Below are 22,580 nucleotides of genomic sequence, written 5' to 3'. Positions count from 1 at the left end.
GGCCGAGGCGGGCAGATCATGAGGTCAGGAGTTTGAGACCAGCCTGGCCAACATGGTGAAACCCCGTCTGTACTAAAAATACAAAAATTAGCTGGGCATGGTGGCACGTGCCTGTAATCTCAGCTACTCAGGAGCCTGAAGAAGGAGAATTGCTTGAACCTGGGAGGCGGAGGTTGCAGTGAGCCAAGATTGAGCCACTGCACTCCAGCCTGGGCGACAGAGCGAGACTCTGTCTTAAAAAAAAATATATATATATATTATATATATATAATATATATTATATATATATTATATATATATATATAATATATATTATATATATATATATTATATATAATATATATATAATATATATATTTCCATAGAGCAATTTTGTTTTCAAGGAAACACTGCCTTTATTAAGATAATTGTCTGGCTCCTTGAAACCTTACAGATTCTATTGAATTATGTAAATTAAAGGGTCCAAGTGATGACCTGAGATAAAAGATGGAAATGATGGCCATTAGCTCTCTCCCTCCAAAACACGTTACTTCAGCAATTCCTTCCTGCTCTGTGGCACTTGCAAAGTGCCCCGAGACTGGGGGTAAAGGGTGGGGCTTCCTTGAAGTGCAAGGTTCAGGATGCCATCCCCAGGGAGGCTCTGACACTGGGCTGGGGCCCAGGAGTCTGTATTTTAACAAGTGCTGCTGGTTTTCCCACAAGCGTGCTGCACACCGTTACCCAGGGCAAGCTGTGGCTGACAGCCACGACGTCCCTAAGCAGCCATGTGGCAGGCTGGCACCAGCACGCCGAGGGCGGGGGGAGCCTGTGTCTGATGAGGCTCCTGCTGCCCAGCCGTGTTCCGTGACCCCTTCCTGATACTTCTCACCCTTTGTTTCATAGCTGCAAGGTCACCTGAAATGGGTGGGGGCTGCTGCCCCTTACTGAGCACTTAGCTCTGACCTGGGACCCTCAAAGCATTTGACTTGTGTTCACTCATCCCGTTCTCTATCTGAGAGCATTTGACTTGTGTTCACTCATCCCGTTCTCTGAGAGCATTTGACTTGTGTTCACTCATACCGTTCTCTATCTGAGAGCATCTGACTTGTGTTCACTCATACCGTTCTCTATCTGAGAGCATCTGACTTGTGTTCACTCATCCCGTTCTCTATCTGAGAGCATCTGACTTGTGTTCACTCATACCATTCTCTACCTGAGAGCATCTGACTTGTGTTCACTCATACCGTTCTCTGAGAGCATCTGACTTGTGTTCACTCATACCGTTCTCTGAGAGCATCTGACTTGTGTTCACTCATACCGTTCTCTATCTGAGAGCATCTGACTTGTGTTCACTCATACCGTTCTCTATCTGAGAGCATCTGACTTGTGTTCACTCATACCGTTCTCTATCTGAGAGCATCTGACTTGTGTTCACTCATACCGTTCTCTATCTGAGAGCATCTGACTTGTGTTCACTCATACCATTCTCTACCTGAGAGCATCTGACTTGTGTTCACTCATACCGTTCTCTGAGAGCATCTGACTTGTGTTCACTCATACCGTTCTCTACCTGAGAGCATCTGACTTGTGTTCACTCATACCGTTCTCTACCTGAGAGCATCTGACTTGTGTTCACTCATACCGTTCTCTACCTGAGAGCATCTGACTTGTGTTCACTCATACCGTTCTCTACCTGAGAGCATCTGACTTGTGTTCACTCATCCCGTTCTCTACCTGAGAGCATCTGACTTGTGTTCACTCATACCGTTCTCTATCTGAGAGCATCTGACTTGTGTTCACTCATCCCGTTCTCTATCTGAGAGCATCTGACTTGTGTTCACTCATCCCGTTCTCTATCTGAGAGCATCTGACTTGTGTTCACTCATACCGTTCTCTGAGAGCATCTGACTTGTGTTCACTCATACCGTTCTCTATCTGAGAGCATCTGACTTGTGTTCACTCATACCGTTCTCTATCTGAGAGCATCTGACTTGTCTTCACTCATACCGTTCTCTGAGAGCATCTGACTTGTCTTCACTCATACCGTTCTCTATCTGAGAGCATCTGACTTGTCTTCACTCATCCCGTTCTCTATCTGAGAGCATCTGACTTGTGTTCACTCATCCCGTTCTCTGAGAGCATTTGACTTGTGTTCACTCATACCGTTCTCTATCTGAGAGCATTTGACTTGTGTTCACTCATCCCGTTCTCTATCTGAGAGCATTTGACTTGTGTTCACTCATCCCGTTCTCTGAGAGCATCTGACTTGTGTTCACTCATACCGTTCTCTATCTGAGAGCATCTGACTTGTGTTCACTCATACCATTCTCTATCTGAGAGCATCTGACTTGTGTTCACTCATACCGTTCTCTATCTGAGAGCATCTGACTTGTGTTCACTCATCCCGTTCTCTACCTGAGAGCATCTGACTTGTGTTCACTCATACCGTTCTCTACCTGAGAGCATCTGACTTGTGTTCACTCATCCCGTTCTCTATCTGAGAGCATCTGACTTGTGTTCACTCATACCGTTCTCTGAGAGCATCTGACTTGTGTTCACTCATCCCGTTCTCTATCTGAGAGCATCTGACTTGTGTTCACTCATACCGTTCTCTGAGAGCATCTGACTTGTGTTCACTCATACCGTTCTCTATCTGAGAGCATCTGACTTGTGTTCACTCATACCGTTCTCTATCTGAGAGCATCTGACTTGTGTTCACTCATCCCGTTCTCTATCTGAGAGCATCTGACTTGTCTTCACTCATACCGTTCTCTATCTGAGACAGGTTATGATATCACCATTTTAGAGCTGAGCAAATTGAGGTATAGAACGGTAAGGCTGCCCAGCTAGTGAGAAAGGTAGCCAGGATCTGGAGGTGGGTAGGCTGGCCCCAGGAGTGCCCCCACTCTCTCCAGCGAACGGTAGACCCAGCCAAACACCCGTATCCCAGAGGCACCTGGAACTCCATATGGGGATTGATCATTTTCCTTCCCTAAACCACTTTTCTTTTTTTTTCTGGAGACAGAGTTTTGCTCTTGTTGCCCAGGCTGGAGTGCAGTGGTGCGATCTTGGCTCACCAAAACCTCCACCTCCCGGGTTCAAGCGATTCTCCCGCCTCAGCCTCCCGAGTAGCTGGGATTACAGGCATGCACCACTATGCCTGGCTAATTTTTTATGTTTTCAGTAAAGACAGGGTTTCTCCATGTTGGTCAGGCTGGTCTCGAATTCCCGACCTCAGGTGATCCACCCGCCACAGACTCCCAAAGTGTTGGGATTACAGGCGTGAGACACCGCGCCCAGCCCCAAACCACTTTTTCCTGCAGTTTTTCCTGTCTCGGTTGGTGCCATCGCTTCCAGAAGAAACTCCCTTTGTGCAGACCCCCTCCATCCTCCTGCCTCTTAACAGTCTTTTATATCCAGCTCTTCGGCGGCCCTGCCCTGCTCTGGGCCTTAGGAATGTGTGGCAACTCTTGGTTCCCGTGTGCTGCCCCGTGTGGGCGTGGTGCCCGCCTTTGGCTGCAGTGCTGTGAGAGCCCTGCCCCACTCTCCCAGCTGCCAGTCTGGTCCCCTTCCAGCCCACCACCTGAGCTGCTTCTGTGGTCATTGTCAAATAGCATTCTGACCCTGTTGCTCTCTCCTGCTGGAAACCTTCTAAAGGTTCCCCACAACCATCAGGACAAAGTTCTCCACCATTAGCCTCTGCCTGCCCTTTGGCCCTTCTGTCTCACTGGTCCTGCTGTGAATTTGTACTCCAGCCCAGCAGCTCATTCCCTGTGCACACCACACTGGTGCCACCTCCTGCCTGCACAGGCTGCCCTCTCTCCCAGACTCTCTGCCACCTTCAAACTTACACAAAAGTTACAAAATAGTATAAAGAAATTCCCTGTGCCCTTCACCTTCACCCAGATCGTGGTTAGCATTTCACCATATACAAATGCACACACCCACCATATGTATATTTTTCTGAGCTCTCTGGGAGTGAATTGCAGATATGCTATTTCCCCTTCCCCCAAATCCACCAGTGTTTACCTCCTAAGAACAAACATTCTTTTTTTTTTTTTTTTTCAGAGACAGTTTTGCTCTTGTTGTCCAGGCTGGAGTGCAGTGGCGTGATCTCGGCTCACCGCAACCTCCGCCTCCCAGGTTCAAGCAATTCTCCTGCCTCAGCCTCCCGTAGCTGGGATTACAGGCATGCGCCATCACACCCGGCTAATTTTGTACTTTTAGTAGACATGGGATTTCTCCATGTTGGTCAGGCTGGTCTCAAACTCCCGACCTCAGGTGATCCACCCGCCTCGGCCTCCCAAAATGCTGGGATTACAGGCGTGAGCCACCGTACCCGGCCCAAACATTCTCTTACATAACTAAACTACAGTTATAAAAGTCAGGAAATTTAACATTTTTGTAATGGTTTCTAAACTACAGGCTGTGCTCAGATTTCACTAATTGTCTCAGCAATCCTCTTGATGGCTATTTTTTTTCCTGGTTTGGGATCACGCAGTATGTTTAGTTGTCATGTCTTGGTTTCCTTTGTTCTGGAACAGCCTCTCTTTCAGCGTCCCTGGCATTTTTAAAGAGCGCAGGCTAGTTGTTTTGCAGAGAGTACCCCAGGGAGAGTTTGTGTGATCCTTCCTCTGGATTAGATTCAGATTCTGCCTTTTTGGCAAGAACAGCCCTGCAGCAATGCTCTGGCCTTCCCAGCTCAGCATCTCAAGGACCACATGGTGCTGCTGGGTTGGCCCCGTTACTGGTGATGTGGATACTGATGACTTGGGAATGGTGGGGTCTTATTTATTTTTTACAACCTCCGTATTCATGACCCCTCTTCTAAGAAAGCTTGCATAGACCCCTCCAGGCACCCACAGTTAGGGTAGGTGTCTGTTCCCTCACCTGAGTCCTGGGTACAGTGCCTCACCTGCACTGACCAAGCCATCTTGGTGTGTGTCTCTTCCCCCGCTTGACTGCAAGGCTCAGGGGACCTCATCTTGCTCATGATGGTGCCCCAGCTCCTATGGGCCTGGCACATAGTAGGCACTTAATATATTAAGATTTCTTGAGTGAATGAAAGAATGAGTGAGATTTCGGAGCTGATTGAGTTACAAAGCAGAAACCTCCAAATCTCTCCAGATAGGTCTTTGTGTGCAGTTTTCACTGCTTTACTCGTGAAGCATGGCTAAATGTTGGGGTTTCTTTTTATGCCAGATTCTCACTGAAAGCATGAAACTCTGATCAAATCCCAAGAAAAAAGCATGATATTTATCCTTCCTTTGGGGAATCACAGAATGGACCAGTTTTAGAAACTTGGAACCCCATCCTAGATTTTTCCATGTGTTTCTTCATGGGAGGGTGGATGGGTGTGAGGGGAGAGTCTCTGGGTCTTTGATTGTGGGAACTATTTGGCCTGGACAGAGCAGCAGAGAGTCTTGGGCCCCCCGCCCTGCTGCCTCTGTCCAGCCACACACTTCATGCACCAGTAGGGAAGTGCCTGGCGGGGCGTCTGGAAGCCTCTCAGGAGGTCACTGTCTCCCTTTGCTCTTTCAGACGCAGGAGGAGGGAGACGCACTGATGACATCGGGCCGCTCCTGCAGCTCGGGCGCCTCGCAGTCTCCAGGTGCAAGGCCAGCGCTTCCGCCGTGGCTGCTTCAGGACATCCCCCAGCACAGCCGTTCCTGGAGACCCGGCCATCTTTTCTGCATCGTTTTGCAATTTGTGAAACTTAGGACAGCAGCCGCCTGTTCAACCGGGCCCTCCGCCGGATGGCTCTGGGAAGTCACCGCTGGGCATGGCTGTGTCACTAGGGCTTTGTGGCTGATGAATAACAGCTGTCGTGTGCTGTTTCTGGGTGGAGATGTCCCAGGAAACCAGTCCTACTCTGCCAGCCAGTAGGATGGGGATGCAGGTCCCGCCAGCAAGGACTGGCTGAACCGTGCGACCCATGCAGTAGGGCCCTTGGGTCAGCTGTCCCCACCCACTACACTGATGGTGAATGAGGCCAGAAGACAGGGGGCTCTGCGTGAAGCCCACCAGCCCCTGCCACGTGATGGTTGGAACGCGTACCTTAGAGCTTCCAGTTCCGTCTTAGGACATTTTCAAAGATGAGCGTCCTCAGGAGGGGCGGTGGAGGGGGCATGTCTGGAGGGACCTGAGGCACGGGGAGCGCTCGGTGCCCAGGCCGAGCAGTGCCACACGTGCGCACGAGTTATGCCTGCAAACACGGGTTACGCCTGTGAGACCAGTGGGCTCCTTCCAGCCGGGCTGCCTGAGGCCACTGTCTGTGTGTTGGTGCCCATTGTGGGCTCCGGGGCGCTCTTCCCTTGTGCTGACGTGAGTGGAGTTGAATTGCCCTGAATCAGATTAGACTGAAATAAACTGAATTGAAAGGCCTACAAATAAGTATGAATCTCTTGCTGAGTGCCAGGCTCTGGGGAGTCACAGCTGAGTAAGACAGCCGCTGCCTGTCTTCACACTAGCCGGGCCCATAACTAATATTATGGACTTGCAGCAAGAACATATTGGGGGTGGTGGGTGGGAGTGGGGAGGGGGGCGAGAGGCTTCAGGAGGAGGAGATCTTTGAGCTGAGCCTTTGAGAATGGGAGTGGGGATTTTGGAAAAAGGTGAAGGTAAGAAGGACACAGGGGACCTGGGAGGCAACAGGAGCAGAGGTGCGCTGCATCTGAGGCGAACACAGGAGAGGGCGGAGACGCAGTGCTCACTTGCCACCTGACAGAGGCACACACGTGCACACAGAGTCACAGGCAGAGAGAGGCATCGCACACTCAGCCTGTGAGCCACACGCATCAGAACCACCCAGAACACACACACATACCTACTCCAGCAGAATCTCAGGGAGCCGACCCAGGAAGCTGCATTTTAAAACAAGCTCTACATGGGAATTCAGAGATTGACAGTGTGTGTGTTGGGGGCGGGTGGTAAGCCTCTGTCAGCCAGCGGGGGTGCGGGGGCATTCAGTGATTTGCAGGCTGGGCCTGCCAGGATTTGCCCCTGGCACATGAGTAATTGTTGCACTTCACCACACAGCACAGTTGCCTGCAGGACTTGTCCACACACAGACTGCTGGGCTCCACCCCCGAAATTCTGAGTCAGTCGGCCTGGAATTGGGCCCAGAATTGCTTGCTGATCAGTTCCCTGATGGGTGATGCTGGTACAGGGGCCTCTGAGAAAAAGATGGATTGGAGAGAGATGAGGCATCAGCCAGACTGAAGGAAGCCCTCACTGGCTCTCCTGAGACTGAGGTGCCGGGACAGTCGCAATATTTGCAGCACTTTGATTTGACCAGATGTGCCTTTCTCTTCTGTGTGCCCATCCTTGGTTTCAAGCCCGGCCTGTGACAGTAGTATGGTATTCTGGACATATGACAGACACCCAGTGCCCCGATCTGAAGATGGGTGAGCCTGGGTCACGCCGCCCAGTGGTCCCCGCCAGGGTCCCTTGCTCAGGGTGATGCCATCTCCTAAGCGGTGCAGCAGAGACCTGTGGCTCTGAGGCCACTTAGGAGCATTTCTGGGCATCCATGCAGTGCCTTGATTCCAGCACCCAGAAATGCTTCCAGTGTTACCAAGGTCACAGGTGGAAACCCCAGATGTCCCTTGGAAGGCTGTGCTGCCATCACCCGTGGGGCTTGGTCACGTCCTGGATCTAGGGGTGATCATTTATCAGCAGGCTACACAGGATTGGAAGAAGGGCCCCTGGGAATGATAAGTCTGTTCCCAGTAGGAACCCAATGTACCACCAGCAAGGAGCTCAGCACTGTGCTCAAGCCCAAAGGCACAACCAGCTTCCAAATCCCATCTTTGCAGGTCTATGGCTGGGACTACTCATGGTACCAATGCTGTACCAAGCAAGAGAGGAAACCACATATTAATTTGAATGGGGGAAGTTTGACATAACTGTAACAGGTTTAGAGTAGTGAGGGGTTGGCTAGTAAGAAGTCAACTCCAATCATCTAGGAAGAGCAGCTATAAGAAACAGCCTCTCAGCTGAGATCCTGCCACTGCACTTCAGTCTCTGGGCGACAGAGCAAGACTCTGTCTCAAAAAAAAAAAAAAAAAGAAACAGCCTCTCATCCAACCGCTCCTCCACCCCACCTCGAGCCCTCATTTGAGAGAGCACTGCCCCGACTCACCGAAGGGCTGAGAAGTTGCTGTTGGTGCCAAAGCAGTGGGAGTTGCTGGATATCCAGCTCTGGGGGGGGCCAGAGTTAAACTGTTCCTGTAAGAGAAGTGCCTTCCTGGAGGAAGTCAGCCACAAACTGCTTGAAGAGGTTGGAGGAAGCTGCTGGCTGCTGGGTGCTGCTGACCACCACGCACTGCAGGAGCCTGGTGCTGGAGGGTCCATGAGCATGGCAGGAGTCAGCCAAGTGGACACATAGCACAGGAAGAAAAACCTTCTGGCCGTGTCCTATCACTTCTCTCTCTGACAAAACCTAACACCATGTCAGCACACAAAGGAAACATGTCTAAAGGGGCCAGATCCATTTTCTCAAAGCAGGCAATGAAGGATGAACTTGGAGCTGTGTGGCACTAAATTGATAAGGGGCACAGTTCCCAAAGATTGTCTGGTCCTTGACAGTAGAGTCCAGGGTGTGGGAACTTGGCAAACCTATTATTTGATCGGAGGAGCAGGAGAATTGGAAGGGGCCTCAAGAGCTCCTCTGTCCAGCCTCTCACCACTCCCAATACAATACCAATCCTCTTACCAAGGCCACACAGCTCGGAGGGGTGGGAGAGAGGGACTGTACCACCTTGTTCTCCTTGCCCTCACACTCTGTCCTTCATAGGCTTCTTGCCATTAGATTGAACAGATAAACTGGTAGCATCCATTTTACAGATAGGCACCCAGAGCTGAGAAACCCCCTTTAGACGAATAAATATTCCCAATCAAAGAGAACTCAAGACACCCTATCTAGTTCTAGGACAGAGGAATTTCCTGACTTTCCCAAAAAAAACTCCATAACTTTTCTTGTTTCTCTGAATTCCATAAAGATATTTTAATGAAATGTGGGGACCACACTGGGCACAGTGGCTCAAGCCTGTTATCCCAGCACTTTGGGAGGCTGAGGTGGGCAAATCGCTTGGGATCAGGAGTTCAAGACCAGCATGGCCAACATTGTGAAACCCCGTCTCTACTACAAATACAAAAATTAGCCAGGCATGGTGGCGGGCGCCCATAATCCCAGCTACTCGGGAGGCTGAGGCACTAGAATCATGTGAACCTGGGAAGTGGAGGTTGCAGAGAGTCGAGATTGCACCACTGCACTTCAGCCTGGATGACAGAGCGAGACTCAGTCTCAAACAAAAAAAGAAAGAAAGAAATGTGAGGACCAGCCAGCGTGATTAAAGCAGTGCTTTCCATACCTGGTATGGTATTGTAGGAGCCCAGTGAAGATTTGTGGATTTGATTTATAACTTGCCCAGCACAGGCCTTGGACCTTGGACCTTGGGTCATGCGTTCTCCCGTGAGCAGTAAGAGAAGGGTTGTCATTGCGATGGTTGTGTCGGTCCCTAATGCTGATGGAGAGTGTCCTGTGTGCTGTGCCCGCAGCATCTCATGAGACTCCATAATGAAAAAGCCCTGTCATCATCCACTTGTCTGTCAGCTGTATCAGGAACATGCAGAAAATCCACCAGGGCAGTGCACTAGTCAGGGCTGGATGCCACAGCAAAGCCCTCTGTCTGGGGGGCTTACACAGTAGAGACAGATTTCCTCACTGTCCGAGGAGCTGGAAGCCCGAGAGGAAGGCTTCGACAGGGTTGGTTTCCCCCAGGCCTCGCCTTGGTTTGCAGCCGTCTCCTCCTGCCGCGTCCTCTGAGTCTGTGTTACAAGCTCCTCTTATAAGGACACTCGTCAGATTGAATTAGGACCTACCCTGATGGCCTCACTGAAACTGAATTACCTTTGTAAGGGCCCTATCTCAGATACAGTCCCATTCTGAGGTAGTGGGGGCTTCACCGTATGGTTTTGGCGAGACTTAGCTCAGCGTAGAGCAAGCAGTATTTCCTACAGACTTGGCTATCTATGTGGATAAGGGCTTTGCATACTACTTAAGAGTTACCATCTGAAGTTGAAGCTGCCCTTCCTTACCTCGTGATCTAGTTAACTTCATCTTCAGACAAACATGTAACACCTGCAACCCCCAAGCTCTTGAAAATACTTGAAGCCCCATCCCCTTCAGTTTGTATAATTCTAAGCAGGTTCTTAGAATTAGAAAAGCTTCTAAGCCTCTCTCTAGTATCAATAAAAAATAAAACCTGAGCTCCGGTCCCAGAATCCTCCGGCCTTCCCGGCATGTGGTGTGATGATGGTGTATACCAGGATCTTGTTCAACAACTCTGGGACACAAAGGGGACCCATGACTTTCACAGGCAAGCATTCCTGTGGTGGGCAGCAGGGTGGAGGAATATTGCGAGTTTACGGCCCACTCCCCCGGCTCAGGTGGGCAGCAATACCAAGACAGGCCAACAAGGGCATCGCCTCGTGGGGCCCCGCGCCCTGAAGTGCCCTTTTTGCCCAGATCCAGGACACCCCACGGCCTCTTAGAAAAGGAAACGTTTGGGCCAGGCAAGGTGGCTCACGCCTGTAATCCCAGCACTTTGGAAGGCCGAGGCTGGTGGATCACCTGAGGTCAGGAGTTCGAGACCAGCCTAGCTAACATGACGAAACTCCATCTCTACTAAAAATAACCAAAATTAGCCAGGCGTAGTGGCAGGCGCCTGTAATCCCAGCAACTTGGGAGGCTGAGGCAGGAGAATCACTTGAACCCAGGAGGCAGAGGTTGCAGTAAGCTGAGATTGTACCATTGCACTCCAGCCTGGGCAACAAGAACGACACTCCATCTCAAAAAAAAAAAAAAAAAAAAAAAAAAAGAAAGAAAAAGAAAAAAGAAAGGAAGAAAAAAAGAAAAGGAAACATTTGGCTGAGCGCGGTGGCTCACGCCTGTATTCCCAGGACTTTGGGAGGCTGAGGCAGGTGGATCACCTGAGGTCAGGAGTTGAGACCAGCCTGACCAACATGGAGAAACCCCATCTCTACTAAAAAGCTGGGCGTGGTGGTGCATGCCTGTAATCCCAGCTACTCGGGAGACTGAGGCAGGAGATCCCTTGAACCCGGGAGGCGGAGGTTGTGGTGAGCCGAGATGGCGCCACTGCACTCCAGCCTGGGCAACAAGAGTGAAACTCAGTCTCAAAAAAAAAAAAAAAAGGGAAGAAAAGAAAAGGAAACGTTTGTGCCTGCAGATGACAATTGTGCATATTATGTGGAAATATTTAGACAGGTCAATTTAGGGACACTATGAATCCTTCCCTCTATAATCAGATGTAAAATTAAGGCTATTCTTTTCCCAGCACTATAAAATGACTACGGTTGACATTGTTTGAGCCACCTCTTTTGAGAGTGTTGCATTGTCCCCACATGTCCCTGGGTATAGAAGACTGAGGGTCTATCTCAGTGTAGCCCTTAGGTTCTGAGGGAGGCTTGGGGGCTATCGCTTTAGGGGCTCGACTCATCTGCAGCTCTGTAGGCACTGTGTGTTCTGGGCAGTGGGCATTTTAAACCCATATGGGAGATGAAGATGACTGAGGCCCAGGGCTGCTGGATCGCACACAGAGAGTGAGGTGAGGGCTTGGACTGGGGCCGTTTGGCTCCAAATCCCATAAGCTGACCACACTATCGCACTCCCAGGGTACCCTTAGATCAGCCAGTCCCAGCCCTCCTTGCACATTAGAAAGCTCTCGGGAGCCAGGCCGGGCCCGTTGGCTCACGCCTGTAATCCCGGCACTTTGGAAGGCTGAGGCGGGTGGATCACTTGAGCTCAAGAGTTCAAGACCAGCCTGGCCAACATGGTGAAACCCCATCTCTACTAAAATTACAAAAAATTAGCTGGGTGTGGCGGCGGGTGCTTGTAATCTCAGCTACTCGGAAGGCTGAGGCAGGAGAATCGCTTGAACCCAGGAGGCGGAGGTTGCAGTGAGCTGAGATCATGCCATTGCACTCCAGCCCGGGCAACAGAACAAAAACTCCATTTCAAAAAAAAAGAGACATAGACTGAATAGCTAAAAGGTATTTGGTGCTGGGATAAGTTTTGGATGGTACACAAAAAAGAATAATTGCCTCCATCCTATCCTTCGGGATCTGAAAATCTAGCTGTGGAGACAGCTCAGCTTATTTTTAAAAAGGCAAATGTGCTCCAATGTATCGTAGGAACCAAGCGAGTGAACACCAGAGAGCTGGGGTAGTCACAGGGGGCCTCAAGGAGGTGGTGAGACTGAAGCAGCAGAACAGGATTTGGAAGAAGGATTTAGGATTTGGAGGGCTTTTTAGGGGAGGGCCAAAGAGAGGACAGGTGTGCCCAGGCATGCCCCGGGGGTGTGAGGGCAGCTGGATCCCAGGGTGTCTGAGAGTGGTCACCTGAGGGCATGCTCATTGGTGGGTGTGGCCATCACAGGACATGGCTACAAGGGGCGTGACTATCAAAAGCAGAGCCATTCAAGGTCGTGCCCATCTGTCGGCGAGGTCACCAGGGCCGTCTGTGGGCGTGGTCACCACAGGGCGTGGCTGCAAAGGGTGACAGATGGTGGTCATGGTCGGATGAGTTGGGAGGCAGAGGGTGGGCTTGGGCCTGTTTGGGAAGCAGAGCTTGGATGTCATTCTCCAAGCCTCAGAGGCCATTGGAGGTGTTGGGCAGGGAGGGTGCATGGACAAAGAGGTGCTTGAGGAACAGTGATCAGATATGTGCCAGCTTCAGCTGTCCTAGCGTCCCCATCCCTAGGTAGGCACTGGGAAGAAGAAAGGCGTCTGGAAGTCCCATCCAAATCCCCCCGCCGCCCCCACCTCGCCTCTCTGGCTTCACTGTGAAGCGGGTCAACTTTTTCCAAGGGCAGGAGAATGTGGTTCCCTGTTGCTTGAGGGGCTCTGCAGGCCGAAGGTAAGAAGTGCTTCTGCCCCTGCGGAAACCGGGTCAAGCTGGCCCGGCACCCTCATCCCTTTTCTACCTGAAGCAGAACTGCGGGTGGAGCCCGCACCGCAAACGCACGGCCTGTCTCTGGTGAAAAGAGCTGTCTTTGGGACCTTCCTCGCTGGGCTGTTCCAGCACTCAAGTCTCAGCGCTGCCATGTGACGCCCACGCCCCCTTCCCCTGTCGCGGGATCGACCCCTCTGGAGCTGCCGAGCGGCTGTCTCACCGCCATCTTCCCTTCTCTGGAAACATCCAAATCCCCACCCACTGCCCCAGGCCAGGCCAATCAGATGCGCTGGCCTGGAAATTCCACAGGCAGCAGGGAGAGCCCCAGAGTCCCCGGGCTGCGCTGCTGCAGAGGGCAGGGCCCGGACTCCGCGCTGCCGTCCTGTGTGTGGTTTTGCTTTGTTCCTTGTTTTTACCTTCTGTCAGCGCATCACCGGAGGCCTTTGGGTCGCCCCTCCTCCCTGGCCACTCCTCTCCCCCGGACCCAGCCCTCAGTCCCTCCCTGCCTCGCCCAGCCTGGCGCACTCAAGCACTTGCCCTGGTCGCTGTTCCTGGACACGCATGGACGCTAAAAGCCAGGCTTTCTCGCGCAGTCCGCATTTTATTTGCAAAGCGAAGCGGGTGCTGCATTGCGGTCATTCAGCCCTGCTGTCCCTTGGTCTCGGCAAGGGCTGCTCTGCCCTTCCACTGCTCTGGGTCCCAAACCAGCTCTGCCCACACCCTGCCCTTTGCCCATCGTCTCAGCCCAATGGCCTGTCTTCACCCTCACCTTCAGGGAACTGGGCTCCCTCTTTTTAGGCAACACTGTTCTCGCCCACTTCCTTTTCAAGCGTCTCACCCTCTGTCCTCTGACGCTTCTTCCCCAGCGTGTCTGTCTCTTTCCTAGGTCCCTAGGTCCTAGGTCTACCCCGGCCACCTTTCCTGATCTCATTCACTCCTACGGCTCCTCCCACAATAACCCCAACCTGGCTGTAGCTCTTACCCGACCCCTGGGCTCCAGACATCTCCACCTGGATGTCTGCAGTGGACCCACAAGTCTTTCTTCTCCTCCTGGAGGCAGCCCCCACATTCTCTTCTTGGGATCCTCCCCTTTTCTGTGCAGGAGGGGTGGGGATATTTGACTTGCCCACTGCTTCAAGAATGACGTGTGACCCAGAGGTGGGCACATGCCTCAGACCAGCCTGAAGTTCTGGTCTCTTGTTAGGATGAGCTGCTGTAGTCCCCAAGCTGGCTGCGCATAAGCTGAGCGACACTGCTGCCTGGCAGGTGCTCTCCCTGAGGAAGAAAGCAGAACCAGGAGATGGGACATGGTGGGCTCGAACATGAGCTTTGGTGGACGTGCATCTAACTAAAGTCACTTTCTGGACTTTTTGTCAATGTGGGCTAACCCATTCTCATTTTTGTAGAGGCTGATCTGAGTTATTTATTTATTTATTTATAGTAGAGATGGGGGTCTTACTTTGTTGCCCAGGGTAGTCTCGAACTCCTGGACTCAAGTCCTGCCTCTGTCTCTGCCTCCCAAAGTGTTGGGATTATAGGCATAAGTCAATGCACCCAGCCTCTGAGTTGAATTTTTGTCACTTGAAGACCTCTGATAGACACCTCCAACAAGAAGGAACCCATGATCTCTGTGTTCCATCAAACTGACTTCTCCACCTGGCTTCCCCGGCATCCTTCATGGCACCACCTCCCCCAATTTCCGGTGACAATGTTGAAAGCTTGAGTGCGCCCCCATTGCAATCTTCGTTAATCAAGTACTGCCAAATGCGATCTCTCCAGTGCTCCTCTCCTCCCCAGCCCACTTCAAACCCTCATTACCTTTTCTCTCTCTCCCCAACTCCTTTTTTTTTTTTTCTTTGAAAGGGCCTTGCTACATTGTCCAGGTTGGTCTCGAACTCCTGAGGTCAAGTGATCCTCCTGCCTCAGCCTCCCAAGTAGCTGGGATTACAGGTGCACACCACCACATCTGGCCCTCGTTACCTTCTGCCTAGACTGTTTGATGATTTCTCTGCTGGCTCCCCGTCTCACACTGTTGCTAGGACGTTTCTAGACCACAGTTCCGGTGCATTCACGGATGCCCTCAAGAACCTTCAACGGCTCCCACCTCCAGCAGGAAATGAACTCAAGTGTTCAGAGCTCTCCTGACTCCCTGACTCGCTCATGCGTCTATTCACGGTCTGCTGTGCGGCGTGTCAGCCAGTGGCCTGCCTCCCCTTCCAGCCGTAGCCCACACCACTCTGATGTGATGGGACACCCCGTGGCCAGCTTCCCTGTGCCCTGAGCTTCTTCCTGGCCCCGGGCCGGCGACGCTCCTCCACCCTGCTGCAACCTGCAGAAATCCTTCCAGGGGCCTCGTTCTATAAATTCTGTCTACATGTCCCCAAGCAGCAGTGCCCCCCACCTCCAAATGCCCTTGATGCTCTGGGCTTGCCACTCCATTTAACAGTGTCCTTCTCGGCTGTTTTCTCCGAAGCGGCTGGAGGGCAGAGTCTGTGTCTCATTTGCCTGAGATTTCCTCCCCTGCTGAGCTCAGGGCCTGCAAATATTTGCTGGGTAGACATGGATGGACAGCCTGACCAGGACGCCTCCTGCTCCCAGCACTGCCCCTCCCCGTCTGGGGTCCTCCTTCCGAGTCATCTGGATACGCCAGCAAGCCTAGATTCTCATCTGCCTGCCGGACTCCCCGGACTTTTTCAGAGATCATTGCAAAGCTCACCGCCATAAAGCCAATCTGCAAACACTTTTCTTGCTTCTTTTTTTAACCTCAATTAAACACACTAAAATACATAAATGAGTAAATAAATAAATAACAGGACAACTTGGTGTGGTGTAATTCAGGTTTGGTAAACAATGATGGTGTTCTCTTCTTACTCGCACCCCCTCCTCTGCCACCTCTCTCACGCTCTCCTGCTCTCTCCTGCCACCCTCCAGGTGCCCTCTCTGACCCCACCTCCCCTCCTGCCCTCACTCACAGTCAGGAAGGCTTCCCATTTCCTCCCGACTTCCCCAGTGGGACCCAAGTCCTTGGGAGTCAGGACAGAAGGTGACTTGGGTGGAGGCAGTGAGCTAGGAAAGAAAGGCAGCAGGTATGATCTGGGCCATTCGGAGGGCAGGGCAGGGGCAAGGAGGCTTGGCTGGCTGGGTGGTGCTCTGGGGCCCATCCACCCTGAACTGGGAGGAAGGGTGTTGCCCCCATCCAGTGAGCATGGGTGGCAGGGGCACTGAGCTGCAGAGGCCACCACCCCAGAGCCGCCAGAGCCACTCTTGACCAAGCACTGAGGACCAGCCTTGGCACAGGCCCTGGGTGGAGAAGTCCCAAGGACACCAAACCCACCGTTAGTGCTGGCTTGACTGAGCCTCCCTAGTGCTGATACCAGATAACAAGTGCAACTGTGTCCAGATCCGAGGGCAGCCGTGGGCGTGAGATTCATGGGAGGGCAGGGCCGCCAAAAACAGGAGTGGCTGGTTCAAAACACTGAACGGGGTCAGGGGCCATTGGTTAGGCCTTGGTATGGAAACAGAATTCTAGGTGGGGACAGACGGGGGCCCCACAGACAGGAGCGTGGAGCAGTGCCATGGGGTCAGCAGGGAGACCCGACAGGACCAAGGAGCTGAGGGAGGTGGGCAGGGTCAGCAGCAGGGCCGGCTTCCTGCAGTGGGACCCCTGCGAGGGCCTGTGCTTGGAGTTCAATGCTCCCAGGGCCCCATCTTGAAACTCTTTACGATACTATCTTTGAACTGAGATTCGTCAGTGAACTCTGATGGGACAATGGAGTGTGCACTGGCTGCCGGGAGCCCTGGCTCCTATGTGGTCCTGCCTCCCTCTCTCTCCTGCCTCCCTGGGACGGGCTCTTGGCCACTCAACCCCCTGCCCTTGCCTAGTGATTGCGGCCCCCTTGGCTCCTGGTGGAGGCCTGGGTGTGGAGGCAGAGAGGGTCGGGTGGATGTGAGATCTCAGGCACCTGTGGACACCTGCATGTAAGTATCCCAATGTCTAAGGTAATGTGGCCTTGGAGAGCCCATTGGCCGGGCACAGTGGCTCACGCTGTAATCCCAACACTTGGAAGGCCGCGGTGGGAGGATTGCTTGAGCCCAGGAATTTGAGACCAGCCTGGGCAACATGGCGAAACCCCATCCTACAAAACATACAAAAAAATTAGCCGGGTGTGGTGGTGTGCACCTTGGTCCTAGCTACTCGAGAAGCTGAGGCAGGAGGATCACTTGAGCCTGAGAGATTGAGGCTGCAGTGAGCTCAGATTGCGTCGCTACACTCCACCCTGGGCGACAGAGTGAGACCGTGTCTCTTAAAAAACAAAAAACAAAACAAAACAAAAACAAACACAAGATGGGCACAGTGGCTCATGTCTGTAATCTCAGCACTTTGGGAGACCAAGAGGGCAGATCACTTGAGGCAGCCAGAAGTTCGAGACCAGCCTGGGCAACATGGTAAAACCTTGTCTCTACTAAAAATACAAAAAAAATTAGCCAATTGTGGTGGCATATGCCTACAGTCCCAGCTACTCAGGAGGCTGAAGCACGAGAACTGCTTGAACCCAGGAGGTGGAGTTTGCAGTGAGCTGAGATTGTGCCATTGCACTCCAGCCCAGGCGACAGAGTGGGGCCCCACATTTTCATTTATCCATATGGATCCCAGCATTATGAGCCAGCCCTGACAAGTGCGTATCAGGAGACCAGGGACCCAAAGCTTCAGGGAGGTAAGCCAGGTGGAGGCAACTGCTCCTAGACTCAGTGCCAAGGTCGAGCCCAGCCACAGGTTCTTAGAAGTTCCCTTTTGGGGGGTAGGTGGTAAAGTTGGGTGGGAGCACCTGTGCCAATGTATGTAGAGGAGTGGCTGCAAAAGCAGGGAAAGAGGCCAGGCAGGAGGCTTGAAGGAAGTTTCCAGTACATATCCTAGATATCAGAGAGTTACCCCAGACCAAACAATGGCTCCATTGCAAACAATTTGCCTTGGTGTTAGCTTGAGGGGCAACTAGAGGTACAACTGAGGGGCAGGAATCTGGAACAGTCTTTAACAGAGCCCTGGTTTGCAAACTTTTCTGGGCTTTAGCAAATTCTCTAGGAATTTGCTAAAAATGTATATGGCTGGGTCCTCCCTCCTGAGATCCTGAATTAGTAGATCTGAAATGCAATTTTTTTTTTTTTTTTGAGACAGAGTCTCACTCTTGTCACCCAGGCTGGAATGCAGTGGCGTGATCTTGGCTCATGGTAACATCTGCCTCCCATGTTCAAGTGATTCTCCCGCCTCAGCCTCCCGAGTAGCTAGGATTACAGACACCTGCCACCATGCCAGCCTAATTTTTGTATTTTTAGTAGAGATGGAGTTTCACCATGTTGGCCAGGCTGGTCTTGAACTCCTGACCTCAGGTGATCTGCCCACCTTGGCCTCCCAAAGTTCTGGGATTACAGGTGTGAGCCACTGCACCCGGCCTGAAATGCAATTTTTAACAAGCAACCCAAAGAATGGTTCTTTTAGTGGGTAGGTGAGTGGGTGGGTTGTACACACAGAGGCACCTGATATGAGCGAGAAAAAATGGTCTTGGAGGCTCTGCCCTAGCTGATGCCTCATGGAGGACAGATGAGCCATCCCTGCAGAGCCCTGCCCAACCCACCGAATCCTGACCCAAAGTTTTGGTGTTCTTCGTCATGCAGCAAAAGAGAACTGGAACAGTTGGGAATTTACTCAGTGACCCTGGGAATATGTATGCCAAATATCTATGTGCCAAATCACAACAGTGCCATGTTTCCTAGAGGCCACGCATTCCTAGTTTTCAGTAACTCCCTTTTCAGTGGACGACACACACCACCCATTCTTGGGGACTTCTGTTTTAGGATTTTTCTGGTGGAGAATTTCATCCCAACAAAAGCACTCAATAGCCAGCTGACCTGGGCAAATCATTTCAATGCTCGTCCCTGCTCTGAAGGAATAAGGATTTTTTTTCCTTCACAGCTCACTGGACTTGGGTGAAGAAAAGAAACAAAAACCACAGGAAAACACTGCAGTGTGCAAAGTCCTGTACAAACACATCTGAGAATGAGGAAGGGAAAAGTGAGGCCCAATGAAAAGAGCAACACTCACCAAATTAACACGGTATTTGAGAAGCGAGATGACTTCCTTAATTTTCTTTATATTTTCCTGAAGCTCCTAAATTTTCCACACTGAGCAAGGCGTTACTTTTACGTAAATTCCCATAAAAGAGTCATGTCAGATCCATGGAGGAAGGCAGGGCTGGGGAGCAGCTGAGCCCCTTGCTGGCCCCACAGCCTGGGAAGCAGATGCCACCGTGGGGACATGAATTCCTGCCCTGACAGCTGGGCAAGACTTGAAGTGGTGAACGGCAAGGGCCAGGGATGTCACTTCCCCACTGGGCTGTGGCTTCCTTCCCCTAACAGTAAAACGGGAAAGGAGTGACCGCTTGTTTCTTATTTAGGACACTGACTCTGGCAGTCTAGAATTGGAGGGGACTCTTTTGTTGCTAAAGAGCAACCTTCAATTACAAGCTTAAAATAAGCCTAGTCATCCTCCCTCACTCCTGTCCTCCTCAGGGAGGTGGTTATGAAGGGGAGAGGCCTGAGCGCTCCAGGCCCAAGGCTTAACACCAGGACAGGCAAGCAGGCAGCTGGCGCTGTTGGCCAGTGGTTGGAGGCCCCACTCGCTCCTCAGCCCTTTCAAAGTAGCCTTTGGAATCCACAAGGATGGCAAACAGGCAGAAACCCCAAACAAGACTCTTGGGGCACTCGGGTTTAGGCAGTGGCTGAGTCTGTGCTGGGGCTGGAGTAGGGACTGTGGAAGGAACCTCTGGAGGGCCAAGATCGGCACTCTCTAAAGCCATATGTGGCTTCTGCCCACTCATTCTGAGATGGATTCTGTCTTTGAGGGGGAGAATCCACAGCCGTCTCTGCAGCCAGCTGCCGAGTCCGCCATCCACCTTATTCTGAACCAAGCTTTGGGGTCTAGACCGGAGCTTCTCAAACTTCAATGTGTGCACATATCCACTGTGGCCCTTGTTCACATGCAAATTCTGACTCAGCAGGTCTGGGTGGGTCAGAGGTTCTCATTTCTTTTATTTTTTGGTTTACGTTTTTATTTTTGTGAAGATGCGATCTCGCTCTGTCAATCAGGCTGGAGTGTGAACATAGCTCACTGCAGCCTTGAGCTCCTGGCCTCAAGCGATTCTCTTGCCTCAGCCTCCCAAAGTGCTGGGACAACAGGCATGCACCACCGCACCAGGTCAACCTGAGGTTGCCATTTCTAACAAGCTCCCAGGGATGCTGATGCTTTGGGTCTTCAGACGACACTCTGAGCAGTAAGGTAACAAGGGACTAGGCCTCATCCTGGGTGCTAGGTCTATGCCGCCAGCTCCCCCATCCCCATGCCCCATGCCCTCCTCCAGTGGAGGAGGCTTTGGTCCAGGGTGGGGATGCTGGATAAGCACCAAGGCCCAGGCAGAGTCCTGGGGCCATGGGGAGGTCACAGGCTGAGCGGGAAGGTAGTGGGATTACAGGGCCAGAGGAGGCCAGGTAGGAGAAGGTGACAAGACTCCCTGGGGTTCAAAGACAGTGCCTGCATCTTGGTGATCTCCCACAAGGCCCTCCTCTGGCTGTTCCCCGCACTGTGCCATGAATGTGTGTGGTGAAGTTCTACCTACTTCCTCACCAGGCAACCAAGGAAGCATTCCCATGAGAAGACTGTAGAAACAATAACGAGAGCCCCTAACATGCACCTTATGTAATTAACTCATAGCATCCACACAACAGTGCCCATGAGGCAGGTACTATCGCTATCCCTTTCTTAGGAATGGTGAAATTGAGGCACAAGGCCATTCACCAGCCCGAAGAGGCAGAACTGGGATTGTCATGCCAGCCAGCTTGTCCCCAGCAACACAGCTCGTGGCCACTTCTTTGTCCTGCATCTCTAACACAGCGCAGGTGGTTGGCTATGTCTTTGGGCGGAGGACCTGAGGTTTGAGATCCGCTTACCCAGGGCTAGTACATCTCCACCTGCCACCGCCCACTCAGGCATGCGGATCCCCCAAGCTCCCACATATAAATGTGTGTTAAATTCTACGTCTTTCAACAGAGGGGCCTGAAAAAGCTTAAGGACCACAGCCACAGCTCTGGTCCTGCAGGGAGGTGGCACTTAGCAGTGTATGGTACAGTGCACTCAATGCATTTTAGCATTATCCACAATCAGCCTCCTCCACAACCAACTTCTTTCAGTGTTCGTTTTTTTTTTTTTTTTTTTTTTGAGACAGTTTCACTGTGTTGGCCCAGGCTGGAGTGCAGTGGCGGCATCTCGGCTCACTGCAACCTCTGCCTCCTGGGTCCAAGGGAGTCTCGTGCCTCAGCCTCCCGAGTAGCTGGGATTACAGGCACACACCACCACACCCAAATTTTTTTGCAGTTTTAGTAGAGATGGAGTTTCACCATGTTGGCCAGGCTGGTCTCGAACTCCTGACCTCAAGTGATCCTCCCGCCTTGGCCTCCCAAAGTGCTGGGATTACAGGTGTGAGCCGCCACTCCCGGCCCAGTGTTTGTTTTTTTGAGATGGAGTCTCACTCTGTCGCCCAGGCTGGAGTGCAGTGGTGCGATCTCGGCTTAATACAAGCTCTGCCTCGCGGGTTCACACCATTCTCCTGCCTCAGCCTCCCGAGTAGCTGGGACTATAGGCACCTGCCACCATGCCTGGCTAATTTTTGTATTTTTAGTAGAGATGGTGTTTCACCGTGTTAGCCAGGATGGTCTCAATCTCCTGACCTTGTGATCCACCCACCTCGGCCTCCCAAAGTGCTGGGATTACAGGCGTGAGACACCGCACCCAGCCCCCAGTGTTGCTTTTTGAGAGCCACTCCCTAGTTATAGGAGTTGAGGCTCTGCTAGGAGTTGGGGCTCTGCTGATTGCTATTTTACCCAAATGTGAGTTTTAACCTGCACCATCCCCAGCCCTAGGGTTGCTGTCCCCTCCCGTCTCACCAAAATCTGGTCACACTAACAGATTTTGTTCTCCCTCCACTAGGTGCTGACTCAATCACTTACCACTGGGTTGGAGGAAGAAGAGGCGAGGCGGACTTCTTAGGCATTATTGCACAGGAAACAAAAATGCTGGCTTTAGCCAATGACAGAGTGGCCTGCACTGTGGTGCCTCATTAGGTCCAGCCTCCTGGCCCTGTGCACCCAACACCAAGATCTCCACTCTGAAGCTCTGACAGTGGCCATGCACTTAACTTTCCACATGCTCTCAAAGCAGCTCTCACAACTGCAGCCGAGTGCTTTTACATACAGCAGGGTCTTGCTGTGTCCCCCAGGCTGGAGGGCAGAGGAACGATCGTAGCTCATTGCAACCTCAAACTCCTGGGCTCAAGCGATCCTCCTGCCTCAACCTCCCAAATAGCTGGGACAACAGGCATGTACCACCATGCCAAGCTAGTTCTTAAACATTTTTTTCTAGAGATAGGGGTCTCACTATTTTGCCCAGGCTGGTCTTGAACTTCTGGTTTCAAGTGAATCTCCTGCTTTGGCTTCCCAAAGTGCTGGGAGCATAGGCAAGAGTCACTGCCACAGCCTCCAGCGCAAATAAAAATGCTGCCTGGGTGACAAGAGCTTTCCT

At 52.0% G+C, this 22,580-nt stretch overlaps 10 annotated features.

The window, feature by feature from the left end:
• Positions 742 to 1,243: an enhancer, noted in NCBI's record as "H3K4me1 hESC enhancer chr6:7273665-7274166 (GRCh37/hg19 assembly coordinates)". NCBI's record gives its function as "activates a minimal SCP1, AML or CMV promoter by ChIP-STARR-seq in naive H9 embryonic stem cells {active_cell/tissue: H9 hESC(naive)}" and the evidence as "EXISTENCE:reporter gene assay evidence [ECO:0000049][PMID:30033119]".
• Positions 6,838 to 7,339: an enhancer, noted in NCBI's record as "H3K4me1 hESC enhancer chr6:7267569-7268070 (GRCh37/hg19 assembly coordinates)". NCBI's record gives its function as "activates a minimal SCP1, AML or CMV promoter by ChIP-STARR-seq in primed H9 embryonic stem cells {active_cell/tissue: H9 hESC(primed)}" and the evidence as "EXISTENCE:reporter gene assay evidence [ECO:0000049][PMID:30033119]".
• Positions 6,965 to 7,259: a silencer, noted in NCBI's record as "tiled region #14963; HepG2 Repressive non-DNase unmatched - State 10:DNaseD, and K562 Repressive DNase unmatched - State 20:ReprD". NCBI's record gives its function as "represses a minimal TATA promoter and a strong SV40 promoter by Sharpr-MPRA in HepG2 and K562 cells {active_cell/tissue: HepG2 | K562}" and the evidence as "EXISTENCE:reporter gene assay evidence [ECO:0000049][PMID:27701403]".
• Positions 12,014 to 12,805: an enhancer, noted in NCBI's record as "H3K27ac-H3K4me1 hESC enhancer chr6:7262103-7262894 (GRCh37/hg19 assembly coordinates)". NCBI's record gives its function as "activates a minimal SCP1, AML or CMV promoter by ChIP-STARR-seq in naive and primed H9 embryonic stem cells {active_cell/tissue: H9 hESC(naive and primed)}" and the evidence as "EXISTENCE:reporter gene assay evidence [ECO:0000049][PMID:30033119]".
• Positions 12,141 to 12,316: a silencer, noted in NCBI's record as "fragment chr6:7262592-7262767 (GRCh37/hg19 assembly coordinates)". NCBI's record gives its function as "represses an EF-1alpha promoter that drives an FKBP-Casp9 reporter gene in an ReSE screen in phorbol 12-myristate 13-acetate-treated (for megakaryocytic differentiation) K562 erythroleukemia cells {active_cell/tissue: K562(+PMA)}" and the evidence as "EXISTENCE:reporter gene assay evidence [ECO:0000049][PMID:32094911]".
• Positions 12,806 to 13,597: an enhancer, noted in NCBI's record as "H3K27ac-H3K4me1 hESC enhancer chr6:7261311-7262102 (GRCh37/hg19 assembly coordinates)". NCBI's record gives its function as "activates a minimal SCP1, AML or CMV promoter by ChIP-STARR-seq in naive and primed H9 embryonic stem cells {active_cell/tissue: H9 hESC(naive and primed)}" and the evidence as "EXISTENCE:reporter gene assay evidence [ECO:0000049][PMID:30033119]".
• Positions 12,910 to 13,049: an enhancer, noted in NCBI's record as "active region_23944". NCBI's record gives its function as "activates an Ori minimal core promoter by ATAC-STARR-seq in GM12878 lymphoblastoid cells {active_cell/tissue: GM12878}" and the evidence as "EXISTENCE:reporter gene assay evidence [ECO:0000049][PMID:35858748]".
• Positions 13,120 to 13,239: an enhancer, noted in NCBI's record as "active region_23943". NCBI's record gives its function as "activates an Ori minimal core promoter by ATAC-STARR-seq in GM12878 lymphoblastoid cells {active_cell/tissue: GM12878}" and the evidence as "EXISTENCE:reporter gene assay evidence [ECO:0000049][PMID:35858748]".
• Positions 13,440 to 13,569: a silencer, noted in NCBI's record as "silent region_16887". NCBI's record gives its function as "represses an Ori minimal core promoter by ATAC-STARR-seq in GM12878 lymphoblastoid cells {active_cell/tissue: GM12878}" and the evidence as "EXISTENCE:reporter gene assay evidence [ECO:0000049][PMID:35858748]".
• Positions 15,794 to 16,293: an enhancer, noted in NCBI's record as "H3K4me1 hESC enhancer chr6:7258615-7259114 (GRCh37/hg19 assembly coordinates)". NCBI's record gives its function as "activates a minimal SCP1, AML or CMV promoter by ChIP-STARR-seq in naive H9 embryonic stem cells {active_cell/tissue: H9 hESC(naive)}" and the evidence as "EXISTENCE:reporter gene assay evidence [ECO:0000049][PMID:30033119]".

This window comes from Homo sapiens, chromosome 6 (genome assembly GCF_000001405.40).
Source record: "Homo sapiens chromosome 6, GRCh38.p14 Primary Assembly".
NCBI lineage: Eukaryota > Metazoa > Chordata > Mammalia > Primates > Hominidae > Homo > Homo sapiens.
The sequence above is the reverse complement of the archived record's forward strand: the minus strand, read 5'-3'. Positions and strand labels throughout refer to the sequence as shown.